The following is an 11587-nucleotide window of genomic DNA, read 5'->3' as shown; positions in this document are numbered from 1 at the left end:
TCCCCACCTCTATTTGTGATGATGAAAGTTCATCACCCCCTCCAATTCTGCAACTTCTTGTCCTTCTAGCCTGTCAGTCTGATTTCAATCCTATCATTGACAATCAGACTATGTGCAATCAGAAATTTATCAATATTTGAATTGGATGAATTAATGAATCAGTGACATCCCAGGATTGAGGACTATAAACTTTCTAGTTCAATGCAAATCATGGGCTAGGTCTGTCTTGAAAAAAGAAAAGCCAACATGTGTATTTCCTATGATGAAAATAAAAAGTGTTCTCCATTTACCAAGAAAACTAACCCGGTAACTGATTTCTGATTCTGTGCAGAAAAGCACAAAACAGGAAAATCTGTGACCTGCTTAGCTCAGCATTTCTCAGTTCCTCCCCCCATTTTTTTTCCAGAGAAAAGGAAAATTGAAAACTTGCAGAAGATCCTTGTAAAGGACCTTCGGTTCATTTTGTCAGACTGGAGTATGGGGAGAGTTCTTAATAAACCCTGGGTCTGTACCTTTCAGAAGGCAATCAAATTTGGGATGATTTGAGCTCATCTGGGACTCTATGGGCTCTTTTGTCCTCACACTACATGCATTTCTTTTTTCTTTTTCTTTTTGCCAAGTCACAGATGGGTGCTGGAAGCCGAGTCAACACTGTGCCACAAGGCGAGATGCAGACAGCTGTGATGAGGTACAAAGAGGAGGCACTTTCTGCTTTCACCGACCAGGCAGACAACCCACATGGGAGCTGCAGGGCAGATGCAGGCTTCCTCTCTGACTAGGGCACAGCTGGCTGCAGGAAAGGTCTGTATTAGAGTAGAAAGCATACCTTGAATATGTCCAGCCTATGGCACGGGTTTTGCTTTTTCTTCCAGCAGTTGTTATCATGTACCATGGAAGAGCTCCGGTGTGCTGGGAGAGAGCTCACAGGCAGGAGCACGTGGACGATGCATGTCCAGGGTATCAGCCATTGTGTCACGGTTGCACTTTAAGAAGGGGTGACCGGCCGGGCGCGGTGGCTCACGCCTGTAATCCCAGCACTTTGGGAGGCCGAGGCGGGCGGATCACGAGGTCAGGAGATCGAGACCATCCCGGCTAAAACGGTGAAACCCCGTCTCTACTAAAAATACAAAAAATTAGCCGGGCGTAGTGGCGGGCGCCTGTAGTCCCAGCTACTTGGGAGGCTGAGGCAGGAGAATGGGGTGAACCCGGGAGGTGGAGCTTGCAGTGAGCCGAGATCCCGCCACTGCACTCCAGCCTGGGCGACAGAGCGAGACTCCGTCTCAAAAAAAAAAAAAAAAAAAAAAAAAGAAGGGGTGACCACTTGGAAGAGCGCACGTGTATTTACATGACAAACCATGTAAATTACATGGCTCATGCCTGTAATCCCAGCACTTTGGGAGGCCGAGGCGGGTGGATCATTTGAGGTCAGGAGTTCGAGACCAGCCTGGCCAACATGGTGAAACCGTCTCTACTAAAAATACAAAAATTAATACCAGCTCCTTGAGAGGCTTTGGCAGGAGAATCGCTTGAACCTGGGAGGCGAAGGCTGCAGTGAGCCAAGATCGTGCCACTGCACTTCAGCCTGGGTGTCAGAGTGAGACTGTCTCAGAAAAAAAAAAAAAAAAAAAGAATATAGCACACTATGGACTAGAGTCGTTAACACCAGTTAAACAAGTGTGGGGTAACTTTCAGATTTTATGAGATTCTTTAGATGCTGTTTTTCTTAAATAATTGAATAAATAAATACTATATATTTTTTAGAGACTGGGTCTTGCTCTTTCGTTCAGGCTGGAGTGTGGTGGCGTGATCATAGCTTATTCTAGCCTCAAAATCCCGGGCTCAAGCGATACTCCTGTCTCAGCCTCCTGAGTAGCTGGGATTACAGGTATGCACCACCATGCCTGGCTAATTTTTAATTTTTAAAATTTTTGTAGAGACAGGGGTGGGGAGGTCTCATTATGTTGCTCAGTCTGGTCTCAAACTCTTGAGCTCAAGTGATCCTCCCACCTCAGCCTCACAAAACATTGGGATTACAGGCATGAGCTACAGCCAAATGCTGTATGTGATAATGAATCAACAGATTCTCCTCCAAAAAAAAAAAATCTGAAAATAGATTATTCATATGTTTCTTGTATCTGCCAAGATGCCTGGTGGGCAGCTGAAGATAGAATGTATCTGTAAAGGTATATACCAAGAACAACAAAACACACTTGAGTTGAAACTAGAAAGATTTTTTTTTTTTTTTGAGACAGAGTTTTGCTCTTGTTGCCCAGGCTGGAATGCAATGGCGCAATCTCGGCTCACTGCAACCTCTGCCTCCCGGGTTCAAGCAATTCTCCACCCTCCCCCCGGCCTCCCAAAGTGCTGAGATTACAGGCGTGAGCCACCATGCCAGCGAAACTACAAAGATTCTTCTGTGTAGTTGGGTCCTTGTCATCTGAGGCCAACAGAAGACAATTTTTTAAACGGAAGTTGGGGCCGGGTGCGTGGCTCATACCTATAATTCCAGCACTTTGGGAGGCCGAGGCGGGTGGATCACTGGAGGTCAGGAGTTCAAGACTAGCCTGGCGAACATGGTGAAACCCTGTCTCTACTAAAAATACAAAAAATTAGCCGGGTGTGATGGCGGGCGCCTATAATCTCAGCTGCTCAGGAGGCTGAGGCAGGAGAATTGCTTGAACCTGGAGGCAGAGGTTGCAGTGAGCCGAGATCACACCACTGCACTCCAGCCTGGGGGACAAAGCGAGACTCTGTAAGTAAGTAAGTAAGTAAATAAATAAACAAAAGGAAGTTGGCTGAGCACCGCTGCTGGCTAACATGGAGAAACCCCATCTCTACTATAAATACAAAAATTACCTGGGCGTGGTGGCGGATGCCTGTAATCCCAGCTACTCGGGAGTCTGAGGCAGGAGAATCGCTTGAATCTGGGAGACGAAGGTTGCCGTGAGCAGAGATGGTGCCACTGCACTCCAGCCTGGGTGACAGAGCAAGACTTTGTCTCAAATAAATAAATAAATAAATGGAAGCTGTAAAGTGGTCATTTTCAAGTTTGGCTACACATTAGAATCACCGGGGAGTTTTGAAAAATTTTGATGCCTGGGTTGTACCCCAGACCAGATAAATCAGAATCTTTAGCAGGTAGGATCCGGGCATTGATAGTTTTTAACATTTCCTTGGCTGGGCACGGTGGCTCACACCTGTAATCCCAGCACTTTGGAAGGCCAAGACAGAAGGCTGCTTTGAGCCTTGGAATTGGAGATCACTCTGAGCAACACAGGGGAGACCCTGGTTCTACAAAAAATAAAATAAAAAATAAAAAATAAATAAATAAATAGCTAGGCGTGGTGCCACACACCTGTATTCCCAGTTACTTGGGAGGCTGAAGTGGGAAGATCACTTGAGCCCAGGAGGTCGAGGTTGCAGTGAGCTGTGATCACGCCATTGCACTCCAGCCTGGGCGACAGAGCAAGACCCTGTATCAAAGAAAAAAATCAAGTTTCCCAGGTGATTCCTGAGTGCAGCTAAAGTGATGAGCTGCTGCTTTAAGGGGAAATTTTCTTACCCCTTTCAAGGTAAAGACTTCAACAGTCATATAGCATTTCGGGTGAAATGGTAACCCACTGACATCTCATTTAGAAAGGAATAAAAATGGAAGTCACCATGCGTTTTGTTTCATTTCTATACTTGATTATCTATCTGTCTTCTAATTGTTCTGTGCAAGTACTGGAAATTCTACACTTTAGTGCCTATGGGGTCCAGGCAGTCACAGCAGAGGTGGGAGGGAGCCAAAGTGAGGGTTGGGGGAAGGGGATTAAAAGAACTGGAAAGCATCTGTCCCCAAGGAGAGAAGCCACTCCACCCCCATCCTGATGTTGCCAGCGGGAAACGCAGCTCAAGTGGAGCCAGATTTTGGGATTTTTTCAAAATAAACTAGTGGTCAGAATTTTTAGGTGAAACATCCCATTTCCTAAATGTTAGCAGCAAACTCAGACTCTTTTAAAACTCCGTGTAGCCAAATGAAACTCATGTGTAGGCTAAATTTGACCCTGAGGGCTGCCTGTTAGTGTATCTAGTTAATAAACCCTTTGAGAGGCAGGGTTCACTCTTTTAAAAATTATTCTTACATTTTTATTGTGGTAAAATACGCTTACGAAATGTATCATTTAACCGAAGTATACAATCTGTGGCATTAAGCACATTCATATTGTGCAATCATCACCACTATATAGTTCCAGAAGTTTTTCATTACCCAATACCCATTTAGCAGTCGCTCCCCACCCTCCTTCCCCTGCCCCCTGGCAACCACTAATCTGCTTTCCATCTGGATGGATTTGCCTATTCTGAATATTTCATAAAAGACCTGTACAGTGAGGTCTTCTGTGACTGGCTTCTTTCACTTAGCATAGTGTTTTCAGGGTTCATCCATATGGTAGCATGTATCAGAACTTCCTTTTGATGGCTGAATATTATTCCATTGTATATATGGGCCATTTTTTCTTTATCCATTCATTCATCAATGGACATTTCTTTTTCTTTCTTCTTCTTCTTCTTCTTTGTTTTTTTTTTGACACAGTCTTGCTCTGTCGCCCAGGCTGGAGTGCAGTGGCATGATCTTGGCTCACTGCAACCTCTGCCTCCCGGGTTCAAGCGATTCTCCTGCCTCAGCCTCCAGAGTAGCTGGGATTACAGGTGCGCACCACCACACCCAGCTAATTTTTGTATGTTTAGTAGAGACGGGTTTCGCCATGTTGGCCAGGCTGGTCTCAAACTCCTGACCTCAGGTGATCCGCCAGTCTCGGCCTCCTAAAGTGCTGGGATTACAGGTATTAGCCACTGTGCCTGGCCCACTGATGGACATTTGGATTGTTTCCACCTTTTGGTTATTGTGAATAGTACTGTCATGAACATTCATGTATGAGTTTTCTTTGCATGCTGGGATCCTTCATACATAACAGTGTGTGCTCTGGTAGCACCGATCCCAATTCCATGCACACTCTAGGTGCTCGTGAACTGGGGACTTATCTCTAGGATGGAGAAGTTGTCCCAGTTTGCCTTCATCTGTCCCAGCTTTAGCATTGGAGGTCCCACATCTTAGAAACCCCCTTAGTCCCAGGTAAACCAGGATGACTGGTCACCCTGTAGTGTCTTGGCTTAAGCTAATCAGTGAAATATCCCAGTTCAGAGTCAAGGTATGAGACTGCCACATGTGATTCACCAACATAATCCTTCTTAAGATAGAATCTGATAGATTAGTATTTCAGTTTCAACTTTAAAAATAATTGTGACAAGGCTGGGCGCAGTGGCTCACGCCTGTAATTTCAGCACTTTGGGAGGCTGAGGAGGGTGGATCACTTGAGGTCAGAGTTCGAGTTTGAGACCAGCCTGGCCAACATGGCAACCAGAAACTCTGTCTCTATTAAAAAATTAGCCAGGCGTGAGGGGCACACCTGTAATCCCAGCTTCTCGGGAGGCTGAGGCAGGAGAATTGCTTGAACCCAGGAGGCAGAGGTTGCAGTGAGCCAAGATCATGCCACCGCATGCTAGCCTGGTGACAGAGCGAAACCCCATCTAACAAAAAAAAAAAGTGACAAGCGTATGTTTCTTGTGATTGTCTGTGATCACCAGCGATTTCTGAACTCACAAGCCAGGTCCTCTATGTGTACCTGAACGATTCCCATTCCTTTTTAAATCTTAGCCTCTGGATCATCTCGCCAGAGCCTTCTCAGAATCTTTCCCCTTTTCCTTCCGGGGTTAAAGGACTCCTCTCCTTTATTCTCAGAATTTGTTATAATTACAGGCTCTGTTTACACAGGTCCCCCAACTAGACTATGACTTCCCCAAGGATGGTGGAATATTGCTGATGTTTTTGTCTTCCTGACATCCATCCATGCTTCTTTTTTTTTTTTTTTTGAGACAGAGTCTCTGTCACCCAGGCTCGAGTGCAGTGGTGTGATCTCAGTTCACTGCAACCTCTGCCTCCTGGGTTCAAGCAATTCTCCTGCCTCAGCCTCCTGAGTAGCTGGGATTACAGGTGTGCACCACCACGCCCAGCTAATTTTTTGTATTTATAGTAGAGACAGGGTTTCGCCATGTTGACCAGGCTGGTCTTGAACTCCTGACCTCAATCTGCCTGGCTCGTTCTCCCAAAGTACTAGGATTACAGGCACGAGCCACTGCGACTGGGCATCCGTGCTCCTTCTGATAACAGCATCCCCACCTTTTTGGAGGGAAAGATCAGCCCTCTCCTGATCTCATACCACATGGTTTGGGTAGCGTCAGTGCCACTCTCTAGGTTCCAGGGTGGCCCTACAACCCAGGCCAGGCCCATCCACACACACATTCCATCCCCTTGGTCAATGTGACTGGCTCAGGAGTATATATGTGTCCTGAACCAGGTCAGTGCAAGTTAATCGTGCAATTTATGCTAGAACTAATGGGAGACTGTATCCCTGATAGGGTTGCTCAGCATTCTGCGGTCATCCTTGTTACATCTAGGAAAAAGCCACCTAAAAATGATGCCAACAACAAAATAGTGCTGAGAGATGCAGACAGAAAAGAAACGTACCTATCCAGAGTAAGAGTCATCTTTAAACTTCTTGATTATGTGAGTTACTTTCTTTTGCCTAAACTGGGTGTGTTGGGGTTTTGTTCCTTGCAACTAAAAGAATACTAATGCATACACTTTATTAATATTTTAATCTCACACATACTGCATCATATCCGGCACATTGTAGCCACTCAAGAAATGTATAAGTCAATGCATGCATGCTTTTTTTTTTTTTTTTTTTTTTTTTTTTTTTTTTGAGACAGATTCTTGCTCTGTTGCCCAGGCTGGAGTGCAGTGGCACAATCTCAGCTCACTGCAGCCTCCGCCTCCTGGGTTCAAGCAATTCTCCTGCCTCAGCTTCCTAAGTAGCTGGGATTACAGGTGCCCACCACCACGCTTGGCTAATTTTTCTATTTTTAGTAGAGATGAGGTTTCATCATGTTGGCCAGGCTGGTCTTGAACTCCTGACCTCCTCCTGCCTTGGCCTCCCAAAGTGCTGGGATTACAGGCATGAGCCACTGTGCCTGGCTGCATGTGTGCTTTTTAAGAAGTATGCCATTGCTGTGGTTTTTAATTTTTTTTAGTAATGAAATAATATTCATGCATAAAGAGTCAGGAAGTGGGAATATGGAGAAGATAGCACCCTCATGCATTGCTGGCAGGAATGTAAAATAATGCAGCTGCTGTGGAAAACAGCTTATCAGTTCCTCAAAATGTTAAACAGAATTACCAAATGACCCTTCAATTCTGCTCCTGGGCATATATAGCCAAAAGAATTGAAAACAAGTGTTCAAACAAAAACTTGTGCACAAATGTTCATAGCAGCATGATTCAAATAGCCAAAAGACAAAACAACCCCAATGCCCATCATAAGAAGAATGGATAAACAAAATGTGGTCTATCCGTACAGTAGAATATTATTCTGCCATGAAAAGGAATGAAGTCCTGATACACACTATGACATGGATAAACCTTGAAAACATTATGCTGAGTGAAATAAGCCAGCCACAAAAGGACAAATATTGTATGATTCCATTTATATGAAATGTCTGGAATAGAAAATGCATAGTCAGAAAACAGATTAGTGATTGCTACAGGCTGATAAGCAGTGTGACTGCTTAAGGGTATAGGATTTTTTTTTTTTTTTTTTTTTTTTTTGAGATGGAGTCTCACCGTGTTGCCTAGGCTGGAGTGCAGTGGTATGATCTCAGCTCACTGCAACCTCCGCCTCCCAGGTTCAAGCGATTCTGCTGCCCTAGCCTCCCGAGTACCTGGGATTACAGGCATGTGCCACCACGCCCAGCTAATTTTTGTATTTTTAGTAGAGACGGGGTTTCACCGTATTGGTCAGGCTGGTCCTGAACTCTTGACCTCGTGATCCGCCCACCTCAGCCTCCCAAAGTGCTGCGATTACAGGCGTGAGCCACCACGCCCGGCTAGGATTTTCTTTCAGGGTAATAAAAACATTCTGGAACTAGGTAGTGGCAATAGTTGCACAGCATTGCGAATGTACTAAAAGTCACTAGTGGTAAACTTTATCTTATACATGTTTTACCACAATAAAAACAAAATAATCAGGAATTTCATCAGGGCTGTCTCAGATGGATGCCACACAACTTGTGCCTGCACAGGGCGCCCAGATTGGGGTGCAAATCTGAAATCTAGATTGGGCTCTGCCCCCTGGGTTCAGACCTCTGGTACTTTTGCAAAGTGGATGCCTTTTTCTGATTCATACAAAGACTCCCTTCAGGCTAATGCTGATCTTGAACTTCACAGACAAGATGGCGTAAGAAGTGAGTGAGTTGTGTCGATGGCATTACTTTACTGCAATTTTCAATGATATTTCTTTGCTGTACATCTTTAAGTACTTGGAGAGTACCACAGTACACATCCTCTCCCATCCTTAGGGTGCTATATGTGAAAATTCACAGTGCATCGTTGAGTGCTTAATTTGTAAAGCTAGCATAAATCACTGGACTAAATTGTCCATTACTGTGAGCTCAAATTATCTCACCATCAAGAGAGTGATCTGGTTGCCTTGCTCACAATGGAAATAAAGAGACAATGAGGCAAAAAGCCAAAAGGAGAAGAATTCTAGAAAAATAAGTTTTCCGATATTGTAAAGAAAAACCTTACCAAGTTCAAGATAGGAACATTTTGCCTATCCTCATCAATAGTAATTTCTTTTCTGGAGATGGGATCTCACTATGTTGCCCAGGCTGGAGTGAAAAAGCAGTTTTCTGATGTTAGAAAAACCTTACAAGGTTAAAGATAGGAACTTTCTGCCTGCCCTCATCAAAGGTAATTTTTTTTTTCTAGATACAGGGTTTCACTGTGTTGCCCAGGCTGGAGTGCGGTGGCTATTCATAGGCACAATTATAACACGTTACAGCCTCGAATCCCAGGGTTCAAGTGATCCTTCCACCTCAGCCTCCCAAGTAGAAAGGCTTTGCTTTTGTTTTTGTTTTTTTGTTTTTTTTTTTGAGATGGAGTCTTGCTCTGTTCCCCAGGCTGAAGTGCAGTGGCACGATCTTGGCTCACTGCAGCCTCTGCCTCCAGGGTTCAAGCGATTCTTCTGCCTCAGCCTCCTGAGTAGCTGAGATTACAGGCACTTGCCACTATGCCCAGTTAATTTTTGTATTTTTAGTAGAGATGGGGTTTCACTATGTTGGCCAGGCTGGTCTCAGGTGATCTGCCTGCCTTGGCCTCCTGAAGTGCTGGGATTACAGGCATAAACCACCACGCCTGGCCAGCAAGTAGAAGGTATTTTTAAAAAATCATTTACGTTTCGAGGATCAGTGAGTCAGAATGAAACAATAATAATCCTCTAACAGCTATAGAAGATTTGGTTGTCTCTTAGGGGATAGCATTCTGAGATTTTTTTTTTCTCCCCACAAAAATCAGTAGAAAAAGACAAAAGGAGGCCGGGCGTGGTGGCTCACACCTGTCATCCCAGCATTTTGGGAGGCCCAGGTGAGTGGATCACTTGAGCCCAAGAGATTGAGACCAGTCTGGGCAACACTGGCGAGACCCTGTCTCTGCAAAATTTATTAAAATAAAAAAAAGAAAAAAATTCCCTGGGAAAGCAATATGGTGAACTCTTCAAGGACAAGTCAATATTAGTTTTGTTTAGTTCCAGGGTCCTTGGTAGCCCCCTCTCCTCCTAATCTGCCATTTCCCCATTTGCGTCCTCACAATGCAACTTTGAAAATATTGGGGCCAGCTCATGGCTAACATAACTGGATGTGGAATGAGACTTTTCTTGTTGACCCAGAACTTCAGCTAAAGCTTCAAAGGTGAGGGCAGTGGGTGACGACACTTCCTCCTTCTATTAAGAGGTAGCTAGACTGGTCCTTTGACCATCAATAACCATCAGCCTCCAGCCTATGTAAGACAAGATCAAGATTTTGTCCAGAAGAGGTTTCCTTGACAGGTCTTTGTAGGGGATTTTCTTTTCCTCTCCCAACCACAAGCCAAGAGAAGGGGGTTCAACGAAAAGTCACTTGTGGGACTTGGGTGCACCAAGCGGATATGCTGGCACCTCATTGCCGGCTGAAGGCTGCCTGGGGCTGCCCAAGATAGCAGGGTGCGGAGAGAGGGCAGCAGGAGGAATAGCCTGCGATTACCATTCTGCAGGGCAAAGGTGTGTCCTGTTTTCTGTGAGTCAGGTGACTACCTCTGAGCATACTTGGGCTTGAGCCATCCTGAAAAGACTTACCCAAGAGAGCATCCTTTCAGCAAAGGGACCTCAGAAAGAAGATGTGGGGTACTTGCTGGAGTATAAATGGAAAACTGGTCTGCAAAAGGCCACCCAGTGTGTGCATTGAGTCCCGATAAGGTCCCCTTGATGGTCTCCAAAGATTCCCCCAGTGTGCCCCATGTTCAAAAGTCAGCCTGCAAGTGCCTGGCAGGACACAGTAGGGCATCTGACTCCCTTCACCTGCTCTCCGTTGAGGGTACTTTTTCCACTTAGCCCTCAGCTCCTGCTCTCCTGCAAGGTGAGATGGAGATCAGGAGGAGAAGGACATACACACCCTAGTCTCCACTGCAGATTCCTGAGCCATCCATGGGTGAAGCTGGAAGGGGCAGGGAACAAGGTATTAAACTGGATATGAGAATGAAGTTTTGATTGGACTGGATTTTTTTTTTTTTTTTTTGGCTGAGTCTCGTTCTGTCTCCCAGGCTTGAGTGCAGTGGCACAATCTTGGCTCACTGCAACCTCTACCCTCCAGGTTCAAGCGATTTTCCTGCCCCAGCCTCCCAAGTAGCTGGGACTACAGGTGCCCGCCACCACACCTGGCTAATTTTTGTTTTTTAGTAGAGATGGGGTTTCACCATGTTGACCAGGCTGGTCTCGAACTCCTGACCTCAGGTTCAGTTGATCCACCCAAACTAGCCTCCCAAAGTGCTGGGATTATAGGTGTGAGCCACCGTGCCCGGCCTGGACTGGACTTCTAATGTCTGATGAGACTCTTAGTTGAAACTAACTGAAAAGCTAAGAGATTTACTGAGATATTGCCCCGGGCATAGGAGAGAGCCCTGACAGTGGATCTTAGGGTTGACAAGCAGTGGAAGAAGGAAAAGAAAGCCAGTTCTTGATTCCCACGTGTCTCTCCTCCTGCCAAATCCAGCTCATTCAGTAGCCCAGTAACAATAATTTATTCCCTCTATTAATAAAGCCACTCTGACACATGTGGCCTTCAGAGGTAGTATGCAGTTTCTAAAGTCAAGTACATCAACAATAACAACATCATCATCAACAACAAAATTATCATCCGTCAGCTCCCGTTCTTTGAAATTGATGACATTCTTATTAGTTTGAGGTGCAAAACCCTACACCAGAGGCATCAAACTCAAATGCCTACAGGAGCCAGGGAGGAGATATAAATAATGAATGTAGAGAACTGAGTGGCACTGTAGTGGAGGGTCTGTGCCCCCATCTGAAAGGACAGTTACCTCTCTTCCAACCAATTATTGCCCAATGTAGCCGGATCTTCCCATTTTTCCAGAAAGGCCAGAGATCTGCATTTTTGGGGTAGC

Source organism: Homo sapiens, chromosome 12, assembly GCF_000001405.40.
Source record: "Homo sapiens chromosome 12, GRCh38.p14 Primary Assembly".
Taxonomy (NCBI): Eukaryota; Metazoa; Chordata; class Mammalia; order Primates; family Hominidae; genus Homo; species Homo sapiens.
This window is presented reverse-complemented; position numbering follows the sequence as displayed.